Raw genomic sequence first — 27,744 nt, forward strand, 5'->3', positions numbered from 1 at the left:
CACCTCTCTGAGTCGATCTGTCCATCTCCGAGACAGATACGGGAACACACACCCTCCGAGGCGCCAGGTTTACTGGCTCATCACCTAGCTTGTGACCGACACACAGGAAATACACTTAGTCATTCAATTAGTCATTCAAAAGAATATTAATGAATGGCGAGTTCTTGTTTAACAGGTACAGAGTCTCTGTCTGGGATGATGAGAAAGTCCCAGAAATGGATGGTGGTGACAGGTGCACAGCAACGTGAATATACTTAATGACATTGATTGTACATTTAAAAATGGTTCAGATGGTAAATTCTATGTCATGTATATTCTACCACAATAGAAAATTTAATTAAAAAGCATTAACTGAGCACCTACCCTCTCCTCAGCACTGTTGCATACACTGGAAATTCAGCAGTGCACACTCCCCAGAGAAAGCCCACTCTCGAATGGGAGAGACAGCCAATAAGCAAATTTTCATGTCAATAAATAGCTCTTGGAGGGAGATATAAGGGCTAAGATGAAAACTATAGTATGGTAAATGGCATGGGAGGGGTGGGAGGGGCTGTTTTAGCTGGGGAGGCCAGGGAAGACTTCCTGGGGGAGACGCATTTGAGCAGAGACCTGAAGGATGTGAGAGAGGGAGCCTCACAGATATCAGGTGACCAGCACGAGCAAAGGCCCTGAGGTAGGGTGAGTTTGATCTGTTGCAGGCCAGCAAGGAGGCCAGTGTGCGTGTGAGAGGGATGGGGCAGGACATGAGCTCAGAGCTCAGAGAGGTGGGCTGGGCCGGGGTCCTGCACCCAGCAGGCCGGGAGAGGCCTGAGCATTTTATTCTGCATGAGCTGGGAAGCCACGGTCTGACTTAGGTTCAATGACCACCCCATCCTTCTGTCTTTCTAGCATGGACGAGCACTTTCAGGGGTGGGCGTGGACCCTTCTGTGCCCAGCCCATGCCTCACACATGGGTGACTCTCGGGTTTGTTAAGTAAGTGCCAGAGGAAGCAGACCCTCACTGGGCAGGCAGCGAATGAAAGGAAGCTCTCCATCCCACCCCTCATCTGCCTTATATGGCTTCTCTCTCAGGCCTCGCTCCAGGTCTATGAGGAAAGGCGTTGCATCATGATGATTTTGTTGTTTCTATTTTAGCATTTCTAAAGTTGAGGTACAATATACATAACATGAAATTCACCACTTTTAAATGTACACTTGATTGGATTTTAACAGATTCACAGAATTCTAGAACCATCACCACAGTCTAATGCCAGAACATTCCCACCGCCCCAAAAAGAAACTCAGAACATTCCCACCACCCCAAAAAGAAACCCCACATCCGTCGGCAGCCATTCCCTATCCCCTCCTCTCCCCAGCCCCCGGAAATCACTGATCTACTTCCTGTTTCTATGGATTTTGCCTACTCTGGATATTTTGCATAAATAGAATCATACAGCAGCACGTGGCCTTTGGGGTCTGCCTGGCTTCTTCCACTTCGCAGAATGTTTTCAAGGTTCATCCATGTTGTGACACAGATCAGTACATCATTCCTTTTCCAGGCTGAAATAATAATTCCATTTTAATCACGATGTCTTTTAAGGCTGGTCCCTTTCTCTTCCAGCAGAAACCCAGTCCCCAGAAGAGAGTGAGAAGGGACTCATGAGCCTACGAATGCCCCCATGGCCCCGGCCTCCAACCCGTGTCTGCACCCAGCTCTGCTACTGCAGGAGCCAGACCCAGCGTGGAAGGCCACTGCCCCTCCCATGGGCAGTGCACAAGGGACAGGGATCGGGGAGGCCAGGGGCTGTGGCTGCCAGTTTCTCCCTGGCCAAGCCAGGTGGGGCCCGCCCGATGGAGTGTCTGCCAGCCTGGCTGGCACAGAGGCAGATGGGCCTGGGGGAGGTGGACGGGGTAGTTGTGGATTTGTCTGTGGTCAGCAGGATCCGGTCAAGCTGCTGGGTTTGACTCTAGCCAGGCTGGACTGTGCTCAGAGCCAGGATGACACCCAGCCTGGCTTCAGCACGACCAACCCTCCATCGGATCCCCATGGACCTTCAAAGGCAACCAGGCAGCCTGAGGCCAGCAGCTGGCCTTGGGACAGGGTCAAGGTGAGGGAGACCGAGAGAAGATCACATGCTCCCTGCCTTCCTTCTTGCAACACAGGCTCCGGAAAGCCCCACCCCCAGTCACCTGGGCTTCTCTCCTAAAGACGAAGCTTGCCAAGGCTCTGCCCAGACGGACAGGACCAGAATTGCTGGGGCCTAGAATCTGCATTCTGACAGGTTTTCCTGTGGTGTGCCAAGGTTTGAGAACCACTGGTAAAGGGGAGACTGGTAAAGCACCTCAGTGGGGCTGCCTGATTCTCAGTAAGTTATAAACAGTCTCTGAGCCTCAGTTTCCTAATCTCTAAAATGGGTTTCATATTCAAGGTTGATGGTGAAGATTCAACGAGGCAACAAAGACAGAAGTGTCTGGCACCAAGAAACTGCTAGAAATTGTTGCTATAATTATTGCTACTATGTACCCAAAGCAAATCACAGAACTATGTGGACATTGAAGCAAAGATTAATCAATGACAGAGAGAGGAAAAGGGTTTGAGATGTGGTAAATTGCAGCTGGGGGACCTGGTTCGACTGTCTCCTGTCCTGCTTATGTGAGTCAGAGAGACTCTAAGTCTCAGTTTTCCCATTTGCAAAATGGCAATAAGAGTCACCCCTGCCGCAGGGCTCTGCAAACTGTGATGTGCTGTTCCCATCCCAGGATGGGGGGCATGGAGGCCTGACACTGATGCGGACCTATCACTTGAGTCTCAGCCGGGCCAGATGGCCTGGCTGGCTTCTGTGCTCCCAGCACCTGGGGTCCCACAGGCCCTGTCCTCTCTGCTGGGGCTACAGCCAGCCTTTTAGACCCCAGCCGGCAGGCGGGCGATGGGGGCCAAACTGGCCTGGTGACAAGAACACCTCTCAGGTCCCATCACATCAGCGTGTCCATCAGCCCCCTTCCCAGGCCTATCTGCTCCAGGGCAGGGGTCAGGCTCTAAGCTGCTTTGTCTCTGGCCATAATTCCCTGAGCTGGGTGCTGGGGTCACAGTTGGCAGAGCCAGCAGCCCCCCTCCGCCCACCTCCCTGCCTCCGCCCTGGCCTGGCCATGGTCACCTCTCACCCGCGAGCCTGCAGCCGCCTCCTCTCTGGATTTCCTGTCTTCATCTTGACCCCATCCACCCAGCAGCCAGAAGGACTTTTCTAAAATGAAAACCTCATCCGATGGCCCTCCCTAAAACCTTCCATGGCTCCCCACTGCCCTTTGAATAAAGGTCCCATCTGCCTGGCTCACCCTCTCGCTCTCCACTCCTAACACTGCCCCTTCCCCGTGGCCAGCCTGGACATTCTTCATTTCCCCAAAGGAGGCCATTTATTTATCTGACAAGTATTAACTGAGGACCTACTAAGTGCCAGAGCTTATGCCAGGCAACGGGAATTCAGAAACGGACCCCGCGGGCATGTCCAGGCCCTCCCAGACCAGTCTGACCAATGAGGGTTGGGTATGCAGCAAGGACCACCCGGTGTCCAGGGTAAGGCTGGTTTCCACCTCCCTTTCCTCCCTCCTTGTGGAGAGGCTCCGTGTCTCGGTCTCTGGAGGACAGTCTGCTAGAGGGTGACAGTCCACCCCTGTGAAGGTGTGGGGTAGGGTGTGGGCAGAGGCGGGACCCCCCACAGCGGGGGCTGATCAGCAGGTCCAGCCTCTGTTGGTGTGAGAGCTGCTGTGGTATGCCAAGGGCGCAGACCCGCCAGTCATACAGAGTGGTCAGCTCTGGCTGTGCGCTGGCCCCGTGACTGCTGGCAGCTCAGCCTCCAGAGGCTCGCTTTCCTCCCCTGTGAAATGGGCAGACCCTCCTGATTGAGCTGTGGCTGATCTCCTGAGGACCCTCTTTACTGGCAAGGAGCATCCTGGTAGCCCCCCAGCTGCAGGCCTTGTTCCCCAGCTGGTGTGAGTCCCAGCCTCCCCCAGGCCCCCTCTCTGCAGGGCATTAAGGCTTATGGGCCCCCTGCAGGCACAGATGTTCTGCTTGAGCCACCAGGCAGCAAACAAGGAGTGGCTTTGGAGATGTTCCTGTCCTGGTTACACGCCGGCCACCCCAGTGGGACCTGGGTCACCGGGGAACTCACACAGGAGCATTACACACAGTGTGTGCGAACCCTCGCGGCAGCCCTGGCAGGTGCGTGGCATGCTGCCAGCTTCCACATGGGGAAACCACAACTCCCGAGGGTTGAACTTGTACTCCACCCAGGAGCAGGCTGCTTCTCTGTGCCTGGTGGACTCCAGGGCCTGTGCTCTTGATGCCATGAAGTGCAGATCAGGCCAGCCCCTGGTCCTTCCACTGTGGGACAGCCATGCACCTGAGCCATGAGAGTGACGGAGCTGCAGTCAGGCCATGCCTTGTACCTTGTGGCCTGTACCCCAAAGCCCACCACACCCCTCTCAGCTGGGATCAGTGCACCCATTATAAAGATGAGCAAACAGAGGCACATTCAGCAGGGCTGACGGAGATAGGCAGGTCTGGAGCCCTCCCTAACCCAGCTGCTGCCCATGGGTTATCGGGCTCCTTTCCTCCAGTTTTTCCTGGAGACACCAACTCCCAGCCTGGGCACATTGTCCAGCTGCTGCCATGAGGAGGACAATGGCAATGGCCAGGGTGGTGAGCACCCCTCACACTTGCGTATCACACTCAAAACTATTCACAAGCATTTCATACCCATGATCTCATTTAAGGGTGTTGATGATGCCTTAAGGTGTGGGCATTATTCTCCCCGCTTCCAGATAAGGAACCTGAGGCTCCAGGAGGCAGAGCCAGGGGTTTGCCAGTGCAGTTAACAATCAGGTCTTCGGGTTGGGGCTGGGAGGGGGTAGAGAGAAGGCCCTGATTTGCGGCATTTGCCAAGTCCGTGGCATGAATACTCAAGCCAGGGCTGATTTCCATGCTACCCACAGTTTAACAACTGGCTCAAAACATTCCTAAAAATGTAACTATTGACTCCCGCGCACTGATGCGAGCCTACTCAAGCCAGGGCTGATTTCCATGCTACCCACAGTTTAACAACTGGCTCAAAAAATTCCTAAAAATGTAACTATTGACTCCCGCGCACTGATGCGAGCCAGCTCTGGCTCACTCTGGGCCAAGTGAGCCACCTAAGTGCACCCTGGCAGGAATCCTTCAATCCCAGTGTTCAACCTCAGAGCTTGGACTCCTCATACAGCCACAAGGGCACCCCTGTAAGAGAAGCGTGGCCCTTCCAAAGCCCACGTCCCAGTCGGCAGGACCCTCATCCTGCACAAAGCCCCTACCCATGCCATCCCGCACAGCAGAGACCAGGACAGGGAGCTGGCTCCGATGACAGCCAGGCCCCCAGGCACCCCTGCTGCTTCTCACCACCAACCAAAAATCACCCCAGGCCAGGGGGAGGCCTCAGCCTCGGGGCCTGGCTTGATAAACAGAATATTGTTGCCTGGGAAGAAACATCCGGAGGGATGCTCCCTGCGCTGCGGGGGTCTCCCGGCCAAGGTGCAGGGTGAGGGAACAGAGGCGGCCCTGGGGGTCCCTCACTGACCTCTTTGGGACAGGATAAACAGAAGTTGGAAAAGAGGCCTCATGCAAGAGCCTCTTGCATGAGGTTCCAAGAACCTCACAAGTTCTTGGCTAGGGGTGTGTACCAGGAATGGTTGGAACCCACAGAGAGGGCAGTGCAGCCTGCCTAGAGGCTAAGGGCAAGTGCAGCTGCCAGACCTACCAGGGGCAAGGCTCACTTCCTCCTCAGTTACCTGGGAAAGTTACTCATCCTCTCCGAACCTCAGTTTCCTTATCCATAAAATGGGCTTAATATTCACACCTGCTTCAGAGGGTCCTAAGGATTAAATAAGCGAAAATATGTTCCTGTTAGAACAAGACCTAGAATAGCCAAAATGACTTTGCAATAAATAAATAAATAAAGGAACACAGTTGGAGGATTTACCCCAGCTGATATAAAGATACAGTGATACAGACAGTGTGGTCCTGGTAAAAGGACAGACATGTGGATCAATACAACTAAACAGAGAATCCAGAACTAGACCCACAAGTCTGTGGTGAACTCAGATTGTCATCAAAGGCACTCAGGTGATTCCACGAGGAAAGCACAGTCTTTCCAATAAATGACTGGGGGCAAAATGAATATCAACTCTTACACCATCTGACAAACTGACATTGAAATGCATCATCTACCTAAACATAAAAGCTAAAACCATGAGCCTTCTAGGAGACATTATAGAAGAAACTCCTTGCAACTTCGATTTCTCAAGACACAAAAAGCATGAAAAACAACAAAAAATGGACAAACTGAACTTTATCAAAGCTTAAACCTTTGCTATGTGAAAGAAACTGTTATGAAAAGAAAATGGCAAGGCATGGAATGAGAGAAAATATTCGTAGTACATGTATCTAGTAAACCTCTTGTAGCCCGGATGTATAAAGACCTCTTACAGCTCAATAATATAAACACAAGCAACCTGATTTAAAATAGGCAAAAGATTTGGGCAGACACTTCCCAAACCAAAATACAAGAATGGTCAGGAAGCACATGGCAAGGGGCTTAACATCATCAGTCATCACAAGACGCAGATGCAAATCACAACGAGATACCAGTGTACACCCATCAGAGTGGCGAACATTAAAAAGACTAATAATATGGAGTTGGTGAAGAGGTGGAGCAAACAGCCCCTCACACACTGCTGGGGGAATGAAAAACGATAGAGCCCCGTGGGAAACAGCAAGGCAGTTTCTTAAAGCGTGAAAATAAGCACGGGTCTACCATGCGAACCAACCATCCTTGTAACCAAGAGTCACGAAAGCTCACAAACTCACAAAGGTGCATACGTACGTGTTCATAGCAGCTTTCTGCACAGTAGCTCAGAATTAGAAAAAACTCAAATATTCATCAGCAGGGGAAGGAATAAATAAATCATGGCATATTCACAGAACAGAATTCTCCTCAAAGAAAAAGGAACAAATCATTGACACACACAGCAACCAGGGGGAAGTTCAAAATACCCACACTGAGTGAAAGAAGCCAGACCAAAAAATGCATGCATCTATGACTCTATTCATATGAAATTCTTGAAAGTGCAGACTATCCTACAGTGACCAAAGGCAAATCACTGGCTACCCAGGGTGCAGGGCAGAGATAGGAATGGACCACACAGAGAACAGGAAACGTTTTGTGGGTGAAGGCCATGCTCCAAATCTTAATTATGGGGGTGATTTCACAAACATATACATAGCTTGCCAATTCTAAGAATATGGAAGTCTACACTTTAAGGGGATGGCATTTATTGTACTTAGTAAAGCTTTGAAAAGTCTTCGTTTGCAGTAAAAGGGAAAGAAAGAAAAGAGGGGAGAGGAAGTGCCAGCAGCCACCTGCACTCATCTGAAACCCAGCAAGCTGCTAATTTAATCCCCTCAACGTAATCGAGTCCACCACCCAAGCAATCGCATTAAAGGAAACAGTCATTTGGTGCATTTTTCATCAACTAAGATCATTGATCAATCCACAAGTTCACCCATCCAGATTTGTCCAAGGTGGTCTGATCCACCCTAGCTTTGGCATGAGAAATGAGTCGTGCCAGGCACAGGGTAGAATTCATTAATTGCATGCTGAATAAATTAACATTCACCTCACTCTCCCAGGTGTACACAGCTTCCAGGGGCCAGCAGGAAGCCATAGCCAGCGTGGGCAGCCTGAGCTGACCCTAGGAGAGGCCCAAGGCTGCCCACCTCCATGGAAGAAGCCTTTTATAGGACATTCTCGGATGCTGAGAAAGGCAGAGTGAGGACCGTTTAGATGTGGCATTAGGGGTTCAGGTGAGCTAATGGGTAATTCAGCAGCCTGAAAATCAGTGGGCAGCCGACAGACAGTCAAATGCAGAACGTCCAGTCCAGCTGGACAAGGGAAGTCTGTGGCTGATTGAAACCACTGGGGGCAGTTGAGCCAAAGATGGGGGTCTTTGATGGGAGGCTGAAGTCAAGCCAGCCATGGCTGTGTTTCCTGCTCTGTCTCCATGTTGGGTTCAGTTAGAGCTTTAATGATCCTGAGTCAATGCATGTGAATGCATTGAAGTCTCTTGGGGTTGAAATGTTTTCTCTTTTGTCTTCATCTTGAGTTTCACCCATCACCTAAATCAGCAGTTCTAAGACTGTGGTCTAAGTACCTCCAGGGGACCCCAAGACGTTTTCAGGGGATTGTGGGGTTCTCCCTTTTCCAACTACATATCTGTTTGAGGATAGATGTTCGACAATACCTCAACCAAACAATGTATCACAACAGACTGAATGCAGGAGCTGATGTGAGAATCCAACCATCATCTATTAAGCTAGAGATTAAAGAGATTGATACACACGCCACTCTTCTCACTTTTTAAAACAAAACACAGTTATTTTCCAAAAAAAATATTATTTACGTTAACATGTAATGGGTTTACACTTTTTATTTTTCAATGAATTCATATAAATCTTTTTAACTGTCTGAGTTTTAATTTCAAAGTTGGCAAATATTGAAGGATATAGCCCACATACACAAAACCTCTTTGGGAGCCACAATAATTTTTAAGAGTGTAAAAAGGGGTCCTAAGACCAAAAAGTTTGGCAACCATTGCCCTAAAAGTACATTGGGTGATTTGGGTGTTTGATCTACTAAGGCATCTATTGATCTAAGCAACTAAGGTATCTATTGACCTAAGTAACTAAGGCGTCTATTGATGTAAGCAACATTCCTTAGTGTTTGGAGCTCCTGGCCCATCCAAGCCTCTCCCATGTTCTAAGGCTTATGCCATTCATCACAAGATGCCTAGAGCTCAAAGGAGAAGTTAAGGTTGGCCAATGGGACCCCTGAATGCAAACATCTCAGAAATGAACTGAAGCCGTTGCTAGCTTGCTGGCTGGCTCCTCAAACCTCTCTGTAATGCCTCGCTTCCGCTCATGCAGTCAAAGGGATGCGGAAGGGAAACTGAGCTGGGAGTTGAGGAACATTTCAAGGGGTAGAAGGGCCTCCATTCATATAGACAGTGTGTCCAAAGTAGAGACGTTCCCACACACGTTGGTCAAGTGGCACGTGGCAGGACATGGAAACTGACATTTAACCTAAGGCCAAATAAAATATTTATGAGGACATTATAGAAAGAACTTCTGGACTATAAAATATGAACATGAAAACAAGTCTCAAATTGTATTCAACATTTTAATCATTAATCTTCTTGGAAATGTTAGTACTCCCGTTATTCAGCTTGCCTGCCCCTCTGAGAAAAACCAACCCAGGTGAAGACTTTCCCCTCCATCTCCTGGATATGGTTAATGGTAAGGAAGCAGTTTCGCCAAAGCAACCCACAAATAGAAGCTCTGGCCAATACCTAATGAAGCTGTTTCCGAGTATTGTCAGGAACCGTCTTTGGACTGCCTCCTTCACTTCTACATTTATTTTCAATATGACTGTACATGCTTGCACAATAAGTTGTTATGCACATGGGCTACGATGGCAACATCCGAGATGCTAAAGTCACTCATCCCAGAGAGTTTCCAGATGAACAAGATGCAGCTATTCAGCCTTCCAGAGACCAAGGGCAAGGGCAAGACCAAGGCCTGAAAGAGCAGCTGGGGGCCAAACACAGCACCAAGACCTAACCTCTGGAGCATCCCGGTCTGAGATAGCCCTTTGAGCTCCACCCTCCTCTGTGTGATCTCATGAGCCTGAGAGCCCTCTGTCATCACAATTTTATCCAAGTGTCTCCAGGGACCACACCAATGAGTGGTGGCCACAGCTCAGCTCAGGAGCACCCTGACAATGAACTCACAGAGGAAAGTCACAAGTGACACTGGAGAACAGCGCTATTTATCTTCCTGTCGCTCAAAGGGCAGAATCTGGTGGGAGAGGGGGGGTATCTGCCATGGAAGCTACCTGCCGATGCCAGACACTGTACTGGATGCCTTCATACCTCACACAACAGAGTGGAGTCAATGGCACTAATATCAGAGCCAAGAACCCAGGCGCAAATCCTGGCTCTGTCACTCACGCACTGTGTGACTTTGGGCCAGTTGCTCAACCTCTCTGTGCTTTGGCATCCTCATCTGCGCATTGAGGTTAATGATGTGGTAAGGATCAACTACCTTCTGGGGCTTCAGTGAGGATAAGAAGAATACTGTTTGGGAAGAGCATGCGCTGTTGCTGTTCATCGCCTTGAATCCACCTGGACGACTGTGATCTTCAAGTTTCGAAGGCAAAGGTGCCCTGCTCAGGGTCACAGAGCAGGTAAGTGGTGCCCACAGGTACACAGGAAGGCTGCGCACCCACACCCATCTGACTTCCAGCCCTCGGCACTTTCCACTTTGCCTGCGGCTCTTCATACAAGCGGCCCCATTTCCCCAAATCGAACAGTAGCTTTGCTAGGCTGAAGGGAAAGTATAATGAGCTGCCAAGGGTGTGCTTGGCCCTGCCACTTCCCGGTTATGTCTCCTCAGTGTTCTCACCTGCAAAATGGGCATGGTGCTACCTGCCCACCCTCCCTCTTTTCTCTCTTCTCCTTTTTCCTTCTCCTTCCTTCTTTCCTTCTTGCCTTCCTTCCTTCCTCCCACCCTCACGCCCTCCATTTCCGTAGACATGTCCTATGGGACCGCGCTAGGCCAGGAGTAGGTGGGACATGGAGCGGCTTCTGCCCCCTAGGGGCTCCCAGTCTCATGGGGCAGTCATGGATGTAAACAAGCACCACATGGCATGGCCAGGGCTGCGATGGAGGGAGACATGGGGATTCTGAGGGCCCAGCCTGGGGATCAGGGATGACTTCCTGGAGGAGGAGGCACTGCATAACCTGAAGGGTCAGAAAGAGCAGAGACACTGCTAGTGGGAGGCATTCAGGTGAGAGGGGCATGCATGCGCCCAGCTGGAGCACCTGTCCCATGGAGAGTGGTGGCAGAGAGGAGGGAGGCAGGACCTCAACGGCAGACAGAGGCCTCAACTGCCCGCCCTCTGCAAAGCCATGAAGGCCTGCCAAGAAAGACCAATGCAGCAGAGGGAGTGCTAGGCTCTGCACGTCTCCCGGCTCACTCACACCTTCAAAGATCAGCTAGTAAGACCAGGCGGCAGGAGGGCAGTAATTTCCACTGAGGCCAGAAGGGGCCACTTTGGGCTAATTAGAACCACTGAGCAGTCTGAAGACTTCAATTATGCACATGGCAGGACAGTGGGTGCCTCCCCACGTGGGTGGGAGATTACTGCCGCTGGCCGGGCTGTCGCTCTCATGCAAAATATTAAGAAAAGGCAGGGCCCACAGCAATTCTCATCTGGCTGAAATGGGAGGATTGATCATCTCAGAGGTCGGAGCCTCAGAGACAGAAATGCTGGGAGCGGAGCGGAGCCCCTTAGAAACTGGTTTGGCAACAAGAATTACTCCCTGGCCTCTTCCTCCTCGCTTCCTGCCCCCTAGGTGTTTTTATTTGATTAGAAAAAAAGAAAAAGAAACCGAAATCGCACTTCAATCCCAGCTCTGTTTACAGCGGGGTGAGGCTGTGCGCCAGGGGTTGCAGGAGGTCCCCACCCCCACGGAGGCTTCCCAAAGCCTTCCCTGGCCTCCCCTGGGAGCACGCTGGCAGAGGCTGTCTTTAAAGAGCTTGGAACCTTTCCACTGACATGAGTATTTAGTTGTGGAGGATTAAAAATACAACCTGGGAGGACGAGGCAGGGGGATCATTTGAGGTCAGGAGTTCAAGACCAGCCTGGCCAACATGGTGAAACCCCGCCTCTACTAAAAATACAAAAGTTAGCTGGGCGTGGTGGTGGGTGCCTGTAATCCCAGCTACTCAGGAGGCTGAGGCAGGAGAATCGCTTGAACCTGGGAGGCGGAGGTTGCAGTGTGCAGAGATTGCGCCGCTGCACTCCAGCCTGGGTGACAGAGTGAAACTCCGCCTCAGAAAAAAAAAAAAAAAAGTACAACAAATCCCCTCCTGCCTGACAGGGATACACTGTGCCATTTCACCCGTCACTGTCATGGGAGAAAAGAGCACTGGGATGGGAGTCAGGGGACTGCCCTCTCTCTCCAACCTGCCACCACCTAGCTGTGTGACCTTGTCTGTGACATGACCTGCCTGTGGAGTCCCTGACTGTACCCATCTCATGCTGAGGTGCTCAGCATTTGTTCCCACCAGGAGAGTTGATGTCCCAGGAAGGGGACTCCTGGGGACTGCCTACCTTAACCATGAGGCTGGGGTGCTGGGCACTGCAACAGGCTTCTGGGGAGCTCCTTGGGACAGGAAAGGTCCTTAGAGGTCCCCCCCTCCCATACACAAGTTCCCCAAAGCCCGGCTGAAGGTGCCTTGATGTCCCTGAAGTGCAAGGTCCTTGTACACAGCAAGGGGCAGGCACACAGAGGCGCCCTGTTGAACTTGTTCTTCCATGGCCAAGAAGGCAGCTACTTGCAGATACTCCTACCCTATCTCGCCAGAGGCATGGAAACCCTTGGGGACGGGTGCCAGCTGCTCCTGACCTCGCTTGTATGCACAGCACTTTGCAGATACAAAGTGTGTTCACTTCCTACACTTGGTTGAACATTTGCAACATCAGTTATGAAGCACCCAGGTAGCACGCTTCTCACTCTAAAGGTTTGGAGGGACGGCCCTAAGTTGCCTACTGAGAAAGCAATCACCCGAGGGGCCTGTAGGAAATTATGGGCCCTGGAAATTCTGAGTTGCAGAGGGATGCTGGTGTGGGCCCAGGAAGCTGTAGTTAACAGATTCCAAGGGGGGTTCTAAGGAGGCAGGTGCCCATGAGGAAGCAGGGGTCTGCACCAAGCACAAAAGCAGGGAGGCACGGAAAAGCGAGGTGGATTCAGGGCACCCGCAAATGGCAGTGGAGATTCTGAGACACAACGGGCAGAGCAGGCGAGGGGGCTGCATGCGTGCTAAGAGGCAGGCAAGGGAGGGCCAACTGCGGTCAGGTCCGCCCTGCCCCGTGTCCTTCCACTGTGCCATCTTGAGCAAGGCACCGCACCTCTGCCTACCTCAACTGCCTCATCAGCAAAATAAGAACCATGGACGTGACCTCCTTCCTAGAGTTACTGGGCAAATTAAATGAGTGAATAGACATAAGATGCTCAGAAGTGTGTCGGGCACAAAATAAGTGGGACATGAGACTGAGGGCTGCTATTAACGCCCTGTGCCCGACAGTGTGTGGGAGTTTATATCCATCGTCCCCTTTAATTCTCACAGCCCCCCTGGAAGGTAGCTGCTATTATATTAGTCTCCCCGTTTTACAGATGAGGAAGCCAAGCGAGCGGGTTCCCCAGGTCGCAGAACTCCCGCACAGCAGAGCTGGCTCAGGGCGGCTCCATAGCCACTCTGCTCTTCCCACAGCAGCCTGGCTGCTCCCACCTCTGCCTGTTGAGAACAGGAAGCTCAGTGCCCTAAACCGGCTCTCAGCAGGCATTCAACTGTGGCTTGATAAACAAATAACTGGATAATAAGTGCTGAACAAATGAATGGGGGGAAGAAGGGATGAACAGACCACAGGGAGGATAAAACCCTCTCTTCCAGCTCAAAGGCAGAAGGAGGATTCCGAATTTAATTATGAGGAAGGGACCCCAAGGGCAACCCCGTGCAGAGCAGTCACACAGCACTTTCATTACTCTTTATGGCTTCCTGGGCCCATTAGCAAATCCCCCAGGTTCCTGGGGAGTGATTAGATGGAGGGAGGGGCTGGGCCTGCTCCCAGGCCACAGGGGAGGGTCAGGGTCTGGGAAGCAGCCCCTCTTGAATCCAGATGCTGACATGACAACATCACGAAAACCTCATTTGCAAACCCAAATTAGTGCCATCTTGATGATCATATAAAAGAAGGATGGGCCTATAAAGCCAGCCACGGACAAGCGTGGCCATGGGGAACGGCTTCGCGGAGGGGCAGGGGGAGTCCAGAAAGAAAGGTTTTGTCATCAAAACCCATCTTGGTGACTTATGGATTTGGCATTTGGCTCGATACTTTGTTTTGTTTCCTGGCAGCAGGGGGGTCTCTTTTTCCCTTCACTTACCTATTATCAGTCTCATTAATAACAGAGGTATAGGATCAGGACATAAATATATACCAATGAGAATTACAATTACCACAATTAAACTGAGCATTTATTAAGTGCTCATGTTGAGCCTCACCCTATTCGGAGCACGTTACAAGAACTAACGTATTTATTTTTGAACAATTTGAGACATTCTTGCCTTTCTGCTGTCTTTGGGTTTGCCTTCCTGAATGTGTCTGATGTGCTTCTTCTTCAAATTGACTCCCCTCCAAAGGGATCTAAACCTCAGCCAAAGGGATCTAAACCCAGCCAGTGTGGACCAGCACCTTCCATGGGGAAGTTGGTCTTTCTTAACCCACTATCATTTTAAGAATTTCAAAGCTTAGAAAAATAAAGTGCTGATTTGTCTTCTTTGCTGCTTCTTCCTGTCAAAACACTGACACCTCACTGCAATGGGTTGAATGGTGCCCCACAAAAGATATGTACACACTCTTGGCAGGGTGCAGGGCTCACGCCTGTAATCCCAGCACTTTGGGAGCCCAATGCGGGTAGATCGCTTGAGCCCAGGAGTTCGAGACCAGCCTGGGCAACATTTTATCTAACATCTGTTGGATGAAAACCCTGTCTCTACTAAAGAAAAAGCCAAAAAAAAAATAGCTGGGTATGGTGGCACGCACCTGTAATCTCAGCTACTCGGGAGGCTGAGGCAGGAGAATCCATTGAACCTGGGAGGCGGAGGCTGCAGTGAGCCGAGATCGCACCACTGCACTCCAGCCAGGGAAACAGGGAAAAACTCTGTCTCAAAAATAAATAAATACATTAAATAAAATAAAATAAAAAACAAAAGGTATGTCCACACTCTAATCCCTGGAACTTGTGAATGTGACCTTATTTGGAAAAAGGGTCTTTGAAGACATAATTAAGGATTCTGAGATGAGAAGATCATTCTGAATTATCTGAGTAAGCCCTAAATGCAGTGGCAAGTGGCTTTATAAGAGACACACAGAGGAGAAGACATGGGGGAAAGAGGAGGAGGTGATGTAAAAACCGAAGCAGAACTTAGAGTAATGTGGCCATAAAGCCAAGAGATGCTGGCAGCCTCTAGAGAAGGAAGGATCCACCCCTGCAGGCTACAGAGGGAACGTAGGCCTACGGACACCATGATTTTGGACTTCTGGACTGTAGAACAGGAAGAGTGTAAGTTTCTGCTGTTTAAACAACCAAACGTGTGATAATATGTTATGGCAGCCACTACAAGAAACAAGCTCCTTAATCAGAGATGAATGTTGATGGTGTGCCACATGGCCTTACAAGTGTGAGGCAAGTGGGGGAAGTCAACAATGACCCAGCAGAAACAGGACACAAGTCAGGATGAATGGACTAATCCTCCAAAACTCCAGCAGATTTTATGAGCATTTATTGCTAGAAACCCAACTGGTTTTTTTGTTTGTTTGTTTTTCAGATGGAGTCTCACTCTGCTGCCCAGGCTGGAGTGCGGTGGCACGATCTCAGCTCACTGCAACCTCGCCTGCTGGGTTCAAGCGATTCTCCAGCTTCAGCCTCCCAAGTAGCTGGGACAACAGGCACCCGCCACCACACCCGGCTAATTATTTTTTTTGTATTTTTAGTAGAGACGGGGTTTCACCATGTTGGCCAGGCTGGTCTCAAACTCCTGACCTCAAGTGATCCGCATACCTCGGCCTCCCAAAGGCTGGGATTACAGGTGTAAGCCACTGAGCCCGGCCAAGAAACCCAACATTTAGAAGTCAAATACCCTTAGACAAATGGACTGGGAAGTTCTTAAACTATTCAAAAGTGAGGAAAATGGATTCAAAAATACATACTTCCCCAAGGATACAAAGTAAAGCCATCATTTAGTGCTGCGCTATCCAGTACAGGGACCACCAGCCATGGGTGGCTAATGAACCCTTGAAATGTGGCTAGTCTGAGCTGGGATGTATGGTAAGCATAAAACACACACCGAATTTTAAAGATTTAATATGAAAAACAGAATGTAAAATGTCTCAATTACTTTAGATTGATTACAGTTTATACTATTTTGGATATACAAATTATTACAATTAATTTCACCTGTTTCTTTTTACGTGCATAACCTGGCTATCAGAAGTTTTAAAACTACACGTACAGCTTCCGTTACATTTCTATCGCTCAGCACTAACTTAGAGGATGCTGGAAATTATTGGGAATTTAAAAATTAAGTTGTATGTGCTCTTGGGTTTGTTAACAAGAAATTAAAGTGCCAACAAAATGGCAGAAGAGACCTAGACCCCCAAAAGGATGCAAAAACCCCCACCAGGGGCCAAATGTTAGATGAGCTGATACTAACAGTAGAACTGGTTTCTCCTCCTCCCCTTCCCTGGCGCCTAACTACCCCCGGTACAGGTTCTTCACTGCATGATCACATCCCCATGCTGCCCTCCACTGATTGGATCAAGAGGTAGCCACACCCTCCTAGAGGCAGCCAATCACCAGGCCTCCCAGAGAACTGAGCCAATCATCTTTCTCTCCCAGGATGGGTGGGAACCTGGGCCATCGTGAGCAGTAAGGTTTCAATGGGGAGGTAGGATGGTGTAAACTGAGGCCACCCTGGAGCACAGATAATCCAGAGCAGGCGAGTGATTTCAGACCTCAGATGCAGGGCAATTACAGTGGGCTTGATTAGTATTTGGATTCCTTGGCCCTGGCTGCCTGCAAGCCTGGGCGGGGCCTGGGAATCTGAATTTTAAACAAGTCCCTGAGCACTTGGGCCACAGGTGATCTGCGGGGCACCCTGAGAAACTCCAAGGGCGGAGGATGCAGAGGCAGTGGGTAGAGAGAATGGAGCCTGGGGAGTGGACAGGGGGCTGCAGCTGGTCAGGGGTGTCACTGTCTCAGAGGGCCTCTCAAGGATCCTGTGGCTTTTTTTTTTTTTTTTTTAGGATTACAGATATTCACATTTTATTTTAAATAAAATACTTGTTGATTTTTTTAAACATTAAAAGATGCCAAGTGTTGCATTTTATTCACCACCCTGGACAATCAAAACTGTGGAGATGTAGGCAAACAGCTAGAGTGAAAGCACATATAAAAGGACCATGCTGGAATTAAAATTTTAAAAATCCAGGAGAAAACAGCAGTGTGTGTTCCCTGTGGCACCCAGCATTGTGCAGCACCCATTGGGTCCATTTTATTACACAAAATACGGAGAACAGGAACTATACAACCAAATAATTGTTATATTGCAGGAAGGTAATTAAGGCATCATTTTATAATGAACTTTTATTTTACAAATAAATATATCTTATGCTTAAAAATATACCATAAAGCAAAGGAGAAAGACAAGAATGAAACAAGCAGGTCACCTTGGCCTAGGACCTGCGAGAGTGCAGCTGACTCCCAGGCCAGAGAGAAAACAAGGCCCATCCAGGATGGTGTCAGTGAGCTTCCTGGAAGACGGGCCAGTGGTGCCAGGCACCAGGCCCACCAGCATGGAGCGGAGGAACCGAGAACCCCACGCCCCAAATAACAGCTCAGCCCACCTTCTGGGGCTGCCCTGAGATGTGCCCAGAGCAGCCAGCCCATGAGGAAGAGGACTGGAGGAGGCAGGCACTGGGGACAGGTCTCTGCAGGAGAGTAAAGTGCCATCGTCACTGGCCAGAGAGTAGCAAGAGGGAGGCACAGGAGCACCACAGCTGAGACTCCCTGTGACCACAGATCAGAGGCTGCCACCCCCCCATATCCCAGCCCTGGAGACACTAAGGTTGGTCGGGGTTCAGGACTCACCCCAAGTCATGGGTGGAGCTGGGGATAGAGCCAAGAGGAGAACTCAGGTCTCTGGCCCCAGGGAACATGCCCCGCTCCCCAAACATGCGGTGCCCTTTTATCCTCCAAGCCTTTGCCCAGACTTTCCCCTCTGCCTGGAACACCCTTCCTATCTTTTATCTAACATCTGGTGGATGAAAGTTCCATTTTCACCTCCAACTGAGGCCTTCCCTGCCTTCTGCTCTCAGGAAGTAGAGTTTAAAGTGAGGAGCCAGTCTGGTGTCATCATCTGCATGACATGTGTCCCTCAGAGGCCTTTACTTAAGCAGAGGGGGCTCCAGCTCCACACCACTGGGCAAGCTGGCTCGGGGCAGACACCCCTGCTCAGAAGCAGGATCCCACACCTCAGGCCCACTCTCTTTAGAGCCCAAAGGTGTGAGCCCTCCCCACAGCCTCAGCGAGCTGATGAAGCAGAGTGTGAGCTGTGATTATACCAGGCTCGAGTCTGCTGGAGTAGTGGGAGCAGGCTGGGCGCACTTGTTCACACAGAGCCTAATGAAGCGTCCCATGTTCTACAAACCTCAGCGTGTGATTTAATTAGCCCTCTGTTCCGGGTATGCCCTCGTCACCCATCATGGACAAAGGGGACTCTCGACCCCTGACTCGGGGGGTGGTGGCCACGAGTGAGTAACTGGGGCATGCACTAGGAGCAGCTCCAGAAGTGGCAGAGCAGAGACCCCATGCACCCACCAGCTAGTGAGGTCTGGGATTTCAGTTCGGATTTAGGTGGAAGGTAAAATATCAAAAAGATGGGGATGGGCAGAGAGGCACGCCAGGTGGTAGGTACTGTGTGGGGAAAGGTGCAGCAGAAATGTGTCTGGTGTGCCATGCTGGCTGGTCTGCAGGTGTGTGAGGGGGTGTGGCTGGACGTGAAGCAACTGCATACACCTGCCTAATATCACAGGGGAGACGTGGAGAAGCCCATCCCTGCCACTTACCACCCCAGTGAGCCTGGCCAGGTCACCCTTTCTCAGAAACGTGTGCAGCGCCAAAGTCCTTCATGAACATTGATCTCACTAGATCTTCACAACAGCCCTATGGAGTAGGGACTACTATTCCCCCTGTTTTATTTATTTATTTATTTATTTATTTATTTATTTATTTATTTATTAGACAGAGTCTCACTCTGTCACCCAGGATGAAGTGCGGTGGTGCGATCTCTGCTCACTGCAGCTTCAACCCTCCCAGGTTCAAGCAATCCTCCCACCTCAGCCCCACCAAGTAGCTGGGACTACAGGCGCATGCCACCACACCTGGCTAATTTGTGTATTTTTTGTAGAGATGGAGTTTCACCATGTTGCCCAGGCTGGTCTTGAACTCCTGAGCTCAAGTGATCTACCCACCTCAGCCTCCCAAAGGGCTTGGATTACAGGTGTGAGCCACCAGTACCTGGCCCCTAATCCCATTTTAATGATGAATAAATGGAGGGCCAGAGAGGGTGAGTAACGTGCCCACAGTCACACAGCCAGGAAGTGGTGGGGCCAGGACTCCAGCCCCTGCAATCCTCCTCCTCACCATTGCACCTTTCAGCCCCACTAGGAGGACCCTGCTGCCAGCCTCACAGGGCTGGAATGAATACTGGAGCTGATGGCGTGACGCTCCCAGCCCAGGCTGGCACACAGCAGGAGCAGCAGGAAGGAGGTGTCTCCTCCCATCATTCCTCCCTAGGAAGCCCCTGCTCCGTGCTAATTCCATTTCTCCCTATACTGCCCATACTCTTGTTGGTGCCTCTTAAGTTCTCTAATTTGTGTCTGTACTCCACCCTGACTTTTCATTTCTTTTTTTTTTTTTTTTGAGAGGGAGTCTTGCTCTATGGCCCAGGCTGGAGTGCAGTGGCGCAATCTCAGCTCACTGCAAGCTCCGCCTCCTGGGCTCACGCCATTCTCCTGCCTCAGCCTCCTGAGTAGCTGGGACTACAGGCGCCCGCCACCACACCTGGCTAATTTTTTGTATTTTTAGTAGAGACGGGGTTTCACTGTGTTAGCCAGGATGGTCTCAATCTCCTGACCTCGTGATCCGCCCACCTCGGCCTCCCAAAGTGCTAGGATTATAGGCATGAGCCACCGCGCCCGGCCTCCACCCTGACTTTTCTAACAGCCCACTATCCCAGTGGCCCTGCCATATTCCTTGGTTACTTAACATCCCTGGTGCATCATCTGGGAAATGGTAGTAATTAACGATTAAATGAGTTAATAGTTGGAAAGTGCTTAGAACTGTGATTCCAGGAGACTGTGTCCCACCTGAACATGAGCTCCTCAGAGCTAGTTCCATGATGTCCAGCTCTGGGCCCCACAGACCCTGGCCCCAAAAGGATGGATCACAAAGGAGCCTGGCAAATCCTCACTGAATGGTCAGCTTGTTTAAAAGATATTTTGGATCAAAAGTCAGTTTTGATGGCATCATAATAGTTTAAAAAGACCTTCTCTTAATGACTTCAGAAGGTGATGACTATTTGCCAGTCAAAACAAGGGAAGAGGAAGCTGATGGGATGGAACAGAGTATTGACTTCTAAACAACGTTCAGGGGCTGTGCAAGAGACTGTAACTGTTCACCTTACTGACCCCTCAAAGTAACCCCAGGGGAGGAGCCCCTGCCCTCATTTCACCAGTGAGAAAAATGAGACCCTGGAAGGGAAAGCTGCCTGCCTAATATCACAGGGGCTCACCCCTCTATTTCTATCTCCCTGACACACAGCAGGCATGTAGATGCCAGCTGTGTGCTTGAATAAAAAATGAAGGAATGCCCAAGTCACACAGCTCCTGAAGGGCACAGTTAGGGTTTGAACCCTGATCTGAGTGCTGGAAAAGGCTCCCAACCTAGTGCCTGTGTGCTGTGGATGTTACAATGTATCTTCTCTTATGAATCCGGCAGCACCCTCATTTGCAGCCCTGCAGGGAGAAGGCTGATTGAGGACGGTCACAGATGGAATGGCTGTGTCCCCTCAAATTCATATGTTGGAACCCTAACCCCAAGATAATGGTGTTAGGAGGTGGGGCCTTTGGGAGGTCATGAGGTCATGAGGGTGGAGCCCCCATGAATGGGATTAGTGCCCTTAGAAGAAGGGCCTACAAAAGCTCCCTTGCCCCTTCCCCCATGTGAGGACACAACAGGAAGTCGCCACCTGTGAACCAGGCATACGGCCTTCAACAGACACCGAAACTGCTGGCACCTTCATCTTGGACTTCCCAGCTCTAGAACTGTTAGAAATGTTTCTGTTGTTTATGAATCACCCAGTCTATGGTATCTTTGTTATGGCAGCACCAACAGACTAAGATAGACTCTAACAGTATCATAAGCCTCCACCCATGAAACTTACACAGTCATTTTCTTACAGATTGCCTGCTATTTCCCCCGAGAATAAACAGAGTGAACATGTACAGTCATGAAATCACACGCTCTCACACTCACATTCACACACACGCCAATGTGCTCGGACATACATGTGCACACACAGTTGTACATACAAACACACAGTCATGTACTCGCACACACATTGTCATGTACTTACACATATGCATGGACACTTACCTGCACACATATTCACACGATACACACTGACACACTCTCATACTCGTGCATGTGTGCACACACAGCCCATAAGCAGAGGCTGAACTGCCTGTTCCTTCAGCTACTCAGGGTCAAAGCTACTCGGGGTCAGAGCCTCCAGAGGTGAGAACTTGCCCAATTTCATCACTTATGGAGCATACTTAGTGAGCCCAACACAACCCATCTCAGCCGGTAATTAAACCTGCCGGGCAGATGCTGGTGGGTGTGCATCCCAGAGGCTGGGGATGTTTGTCCTGGTGCAGTTATCAGAGCAAGACCCGACCCTGCTGTGAGAGAACACCCTGCCGCCTCTCAGCCTGCACCACAGCACTCACCTGTTCCATTCATGATGAGGGGAAAGCCCACATATCCCCTGAGGGCCAGGGATGACCCCTATTTTCATTCTTGGACACCCCAACAATCCTGGTGGTGGCAGCTGGGGTCACTGAGACTCTGAGAAGTGGAGACTGGCCAAAGGCCACAGCTAGCAGAGGACTGTGCCGGGGCTCCCACTCAGGGCTGGCCAGCTCCACGATGGGGACCCTCCCAACTCTCATGATGCCCCACAGCCCCTGCTCACCCGTGTCTCTCTTTCCCATCAGCGTCTTCGTTATACTCAATCAGAATGAGGCTGCTCCCTGGTGGCTCTGCAGTTGGCTACTGCCATGTTGCCAGTCAATGGCCAAAACCAGATCTATGTGGCCCAAATCTAGAGAATTATGCATGGGACAGTAACATAAGTTTTGCCTGTGTATGTGTGTGTGTGTGTGTGTGTGTGTGTGTGTGTGTGTGTGTGTGTGTACAGGTAAATAAACATTGAAAGAAACAAAATACGGCCTAGTATGCCTTTTTCCTCCTCCTGGCTGGAGCTAGAACTGGCTGGAGCTAGAACTGGCGTGAGCTGGTAAGTTCATCAGAGGCCAGGCAGGCAGTGGATTTATTCGGCAGCACCCTGCATTACTTCCTACATGTACGAAAGGAACCAGTTCCACTGACCTGAGCTAGGCTCGCAAACTCTCTGATCATGTGCACGGTGGGCATTCTGTGGAAACTAACAAAAGAGCTTTCCCATTTGCAGGTGGCTCCAGGGTTCATTGCTGGGGCGAGGGAAGTCACGCAGAAAGCAGGAGGCTGGCGGGAGGAGCATCAGGCAAGCAGCAGTCTCTTTTAGCCTCAAGGATGGCTACAGGCACCAACAACAACTGGTCACTCAGGACAGCACTTTACAGTTGACACAGACAGCCAGTATCTGGATCTCATTTCACCATGTCAAAGAGCCCTACGAGATGGGCAGGGGGTTCCTCCTGGTATATGGATGGGGAAACCGAGGCTCAGAGAAGCAAGGGAGAAGGGAGGGGAACTCTTGTTGGGCTCCTAATGTATCCACGAGGCCCTGGGCTGGATGGAGGGAGGAACAGGGGGTGGGAGAGCCCAATGGGAATCACTACGCCATCACTCCTTCCTGGCTGTGCAACCTCAGGCCAATTGCCTAACCCCTCTGAGCTTCAGGGGCCTCATCTGAAAGCCCGGATGAAAAGCCTTCCATCCCTAGCCGCCTGTGGATGCTCACCACATGTGCTTAGTTTTCCTGAACAGCCTGCTCCCCTTTCTCTGTGAACTCAGGGTCACCCTCCCAGTGACCATAGGAACCCAGGTTCCACAGAAGAGCATCTCGCTCACACGACAGGAAGGGATGGTGTCAGGAACAGGTGCGGATATCTGGGGACACAGGGCCATGGAATGCCAGGACAGTGGACAAAAGGCCCCGTCCTCCCACAGAGCCGCTGCCTCACAGTGCATGCGCCTCGTCCGCATGCTGGAGGACCTGCCAGGGCCTTCTCTCTTGGAGGTGAATATCGGGGGGCTTTCAAAGGGATCAAACTGGCCAGCGCCAGCATGTCCACTGTTACAGCCGGCCTGGGGGCTCAGAGCCCCTCTGAAACTACCAATGGAACATCCCAAGGTCAGACCACCGGCCGTTTCAATCCATTTGCATTTGGCAGACATTTAGCCTCTTATTTCAAAGGCAAATTTATGCTTGCTTCACTGTTTCTGCTTTTTTAAAGCAAAGAAAAAAAGCTTTCCCAGCCTGGGGCTCAAGCATGTCTGGGTCACGGTGACAGTGACACTTTGAAAACCACCTCCAGGTGCCTCCAGTCAGGGCAAGCAGGCTTTCTCAGAACCCACGCTGATCCAGGCCGAGGGGAACCTCAGCTGTGAGGGGGGCACGGTCACTCAGAGGACGGCCCTCACCCATAGCTCATTCCAGATACCAGAGCAGCCACCAGGAAAGGCTTGGCCAAGTCACCGTGCCTCAATCGACAGCATTCCAGCAGACTTCTGACATTCAACCCTGAATCCTGCAGAAGCGGGCAGCAGTGAGGGGCTTTGAAGAGCTGTGGTCACCCAGGAGGGGAACTGAAGGTCATCCAGTCTAACCCTCTCTGGTGTCTGAATCCTTCTACAACAGACCTCCAAGTAGTCCTCCAGCCATGACTCACATACCTCCTACGATGGGGAGCTCACTACCACATTACACAGCTATTAAGATAGCTCTGATGGTGAAAGCATTCTTCTTCTAAACCTTCCTCCTAGAAGTTTCTCTCAACTGGTCCAACTCTGCCAGCTGGACCCAAACAGAGCACCCCAACTCCTTTATCCACAGGATCAGTGACCAGCACCCCAGGACCAATTTTTTATCCCAAGTTCCTAGCAGTCCCTGCTGTCACCCTGGGTCTTTCTATTTGGATTTCTCATGAGCAATTTAAACACAACATGTCTAAGACTAAGTCCACCATTTTCCAAAAACAACCTACTCCTCTACCACCCCTGCCCACCAGCCTAACAAGGATAACAACCTTCCATAACAAGGATATGACAATCGGCTACCCGTGTGCCCAGCCCTGGGGTGGCTTCCTTAGGTGCACACAACCGCCCCCACGATGTGTGGTTTTCCCCATTTTACAACAGAGAAAACTGAGGTTCAGAAAGGTCACATAAAGTCACACTGCTACCAAGAGTAGGAGCCAGGATTCGAACCCAGGTCTGACTCAAGGCCTCTTTCCACCATCCCGTGAAAATACTCAGAGGCAGTCCATCAGCACAACCTGCGGATGTCCCTCCCAGCTCCTCCTGATCCTCACCTGTGCCCCAGCTCAGCACTTGCCACCAGGGTCTCCAGCACTGCCTACCCCATACCTCCAGTGGGAGCTTTCCCAACAGAAAGCAGCTGTGACCCCCGGGGTGAAGCAGAAGCCCTGGCTGCACCCAGCAGCCTGCAGGCTCCTCTTGTCCCTGCTCCCCTCCCCCATCCTCTGCTGCAGCCACCCCGATGCGCTGGCCAGGCATGAGCTGCCAACACGCCCTCCAGCCCGGGACCACAGATGCCAAGCAGCAGCACTGGGCTCTGAGTCCAGATCCTTCCACTTCGGGAACCCTGCAGGAGGGCTGGGACCATCTGGCAGGGCTGGAGGAGGAGGGAGACACTTCTTCCAAGCCTGCTGGGCTCCCTGTGTGTGCCCCAGGGGAAGGCTCCTGGCCTCTCTCCCTTCCCCCTGTCGGGGGGAGACTGACTGACGCTGGAGTATTGGGGAGGGAGATGGGAAAGAGTCCAGCCCCGCCTCTCCTCTCTTCCTGGGGGAGAACAGCCAGGGGCCACTGTACTCTGCTCCACTACCCCCTGCTCCCTCCACACCTGCCTGCTGGGGTCCAGCACTGGGGAAGCCCACCGGGCCCCTGAACCTAAGCCAGGTCCTGCAGCACCGGCAGCTGGGCAGTGGCAGTGAGGTTCCGTGTCTCTCTTTGCCGCCCCTTTTGGCTTATGCTCCACGGGTCCAGCCCCTGGGCGGGGAGGGGGATGCCATTTACCAGACCCCCTTGCAGACCCCACGAGGAGGAGGGAGTAAGAGAAAAGGGAAGGGTCCAGGTGGTAATGCTGCTTCTGAGAATATAAGTGTAGCCATCACCAGGCCCCATCCACGGGATTTTCACAGGGACCCACCTCGGGGTTACGTGAATTAAGGACATGACCATTACCCTTGTTCCACTGTCTGCTGACCCAGGCCTTGGGCCTTGGGAATCTTCCAATGAGAAGAATCACCTTTTCTGGGGGTACTGCCTCCCTCTCTGTGACCTCAGTTTGCCCCCCTTGGGTGGCACCCAGCCCCTGCCCTACACACTGAGAACAAGCCTCAGGCTCCCAGGATCCCAAAGACATCACGGGGCATGTTTCCATGCCCAGTCTGCCTGGCACACCCATGCCAGGACCCTCTGGGTGTTGCCCAGGCTTCTGGATAAACATGTTCTCCTGCTGAGGCTTTCGGGGGCCCCCGGGGACCCCAGTCCATGGCCACATCCTTGCAGCAGTGAGTCAGAGGTGCCTCCAGTGAGGGCAGGCAGGCTTTCTCAGAACCCGCACTGAGCCAGGCAGAGGGGAACCTCGGCTGCGTGGGGGGCATGGTCACTCAGAGGACGGCCCTCGTCCACAGCTCATTCCAGACACCCAGAGCAGCCATCAGGAAAGCCTCAGAGAAGTCGCCGAGCCTCAAAAGGCAGCATGCCAGCAGATTTCTGTCATTTGACCCAATGATTTGAGATGACGGAGACTCCCCTTAGCTCTGGCAGATGTGGCCTGACCCTCTGCCGCTGGGACAATGCCTCCAGCAGGCAGGGGCTCTGGAAGGGAAGGAGGGGGTGGGGAGAACTGGGTTGGGGTCCTCATTCTGCCCCTCACCTTGCCTTGCCGCCTTGGGAAGTCACTTGCTTCTTTGGGCATGTGCTTCCTCATCTGTAAAATGGGGTGATCATAGCAACCTACAGACGGTGCTGGGACAGGAAGGATGTGGGCAAGTGGACATGAACTGCTCTGCAAGGAGAGTGGTCTTGACTAAAACGTGGGGCTCAACCATTCAGACCCACCTACCCACAGGGCTGTTGCCCAGGTGCCCTGGGCACCCGGCTGCTCATGCTCTGGTCACCCCATCCTCAGGATGGCCCTAACAGGCAGGACTTGCTATGCCCTCCTGGAGAGGAAGCCAAAGCCCAGCAAGGTTAAGACACTCATCAAGGGCCACACAGCTGCTGCCACGCAGCAAAGCCAGAATTCAAGTCTGGGTCTAGCTCCAACTCCACGCTCCTATCACCAGCTCGCACGCTTAAACATCCTCCTCCTCTTCTCTAAACTCCTGCATCTCCCAGGTGAACCTCGGCCCCAGCATTCTGGCTGCGCTAGGGTAGGGTGGGATCAAATCGCCCCTGGGCCTGGGCACCCTCAACACCCCCCACATAGGCTGAGCTGCTCTTCCCAAGCCATCAGTCCCTGTGCTGGGTTCACCTCACTTCAGAGATGACTCAGCCAGAGTCCTGTGCTCCCAAAGGGACAATGGTGTGTCATGGAAGTCACTGCTAGGATGGAGGGAAGCATAGAGGACTTGGGTCTCAGAGGAAGACCTGCCCCTGCCTGCTGGGTGGTCAGAGAGGCTTCCAGAAACGTTCCTCATTCTTCAAGCAAATCTCCCCCGAGCTCGGCCTGCCCTGTACTAAGTGTCATGCCTGGTTCTGGGGAGTAAAGTGTGAAGCAGACAGTAGGCCTGGGCACAGAGACAGGAGGCGGGCACCAGCCCAGTGCTTCCCCTGGGTCCTCACTCAGGGAAACCATCAATATTCCCGTTGACAGCGGAGGAAACCGTGCCCACTCAGCTTCGCATGCGGTGAGGGTTCCCCTAGGGCAAACTCAGTGACACCCAGCCCAAGAGCTAAGAATGTTTTCTGCATTTTCAAAGGGTTGTGAAACAAACAACAAACAAATGACAACAAAACAAACAAAGAAAAATGTGCAACAGATCCTAGCACTTTGGGAGGCTGAGGCAGGCGGATCACCTGAGGTAGGGAGTTCGAGACCAGCCTGGCCAACGTGGTGAAACCCCATCTCTACTAAAAACACACACACACAAAAATTAGGCAAGCGTGGTGGCATGTGCCTGTAATCCCAGCTACTCGGGAGGCTAAGGCAGGAGAATCGCTTGAACCCGGGAGGCAGTGGTTGCAGTGAGCTGAGATGGTGCCACTGCCACTGCACTCCTAGGCGACAGAGTGAGACTCTGTCTAAAAAAAGAAAGAAAAGAAAAGAAAAGAAGAGAAAAGAAAAGAAAAATATGCAACAGAGATTTACACAGCCTGCAAAGTCTAAAATATCTACTATCAGGCCCTTCACAGAAAATCGAACTTGCTCTGAGCCCACACCTCATTTTGCAAAAGAGGAGTATCAGGGACTCCTCTTCTGGGATGTTAGGGCCTGGGATGTGTCTGGGTATCAGTGTCCTGTGG

At 51.5% G+C, this 27,744-nt stretch overlaps 1 protein-coding gene across 8 annotated transcripts in view, besides 2 other annotated features; it reads right to left on the bottom strand.

Moving 5' to 3' along the window:
- Positions 1–27,744, bottom strand: part of PPP2R2C (protein phosphatase 2 regulatory subunit Bgamma) — a 243,219-nt gene that overhangs the window by 71,322 nt on the left and 144,153 nt on the right. Inside the window, exon 2 of one of the 8 annotated variants that reach the window (NM_001206996.2) lies at positions 22,001–22,129. The exons of the other annotated variants lie outside the window; for them this stretch is intronic. Coding sequence (NP_001193925.1) covers positions 22,001–22,019 — 19 coding nt within the window. The 5' untranslated portion in view covers positions 22,020–22,129. The remainder of the gene's footprint in view (positions 1–22,000; positions 22,130–27,744) is intronic. 8 annotated transcript variants of the gene reach the window in all.
- Positions 1,286–1,839: an enhancer, noted in NCBI's record as "H3K27ac-H3K4me1 hESC enhancer chr4:6394915-6395468 (GRCh37/hg19 assembly coordinates)". NCBI's record gives its function as "activates a minimal SCP1, AML or CMV promoter by ChIP-STARR-seq in naive H9 embryonic stem cells {active_cell/tissue: H9 hESC(naive)}" and the evidence as "EXISTENCE:reporter gene assay evidence [ECO:0000049][PMID:30033119]".
- Positions 1,840–2,393: an enhancer, noted in NCBI's record as "H3K27ac-H3K4me1 hESC enhancer chr4:6395469-6396022 (GRCh37/hg19 assembly coordinates)". NCBI's record gives its function as "activates a minimal SCP1, AML or CMV promoter by ChIP-STARR-seq in naive H9 embryonic stem cells {active_cell/tissue: H9 hESC(naive)}" and the evidence as "EXISTENCE:reporter gene assay evidence [ECO:0000049][PMID:30033119]".

The sequence above is a fragment of the Homo sapiens genome, chromosome 4 (genome assembly GCF_000001405.40).
Source record: "Homo sapiens chromosome 4, GRCh38.p14 Primary Assembly".
Taxonomy (NCBI): domain Eukaryota; kingdom Metazoa; phylum Chordata; class Mammalia; order Primates; family Hominidae; genus Homo; species Homo sapiens.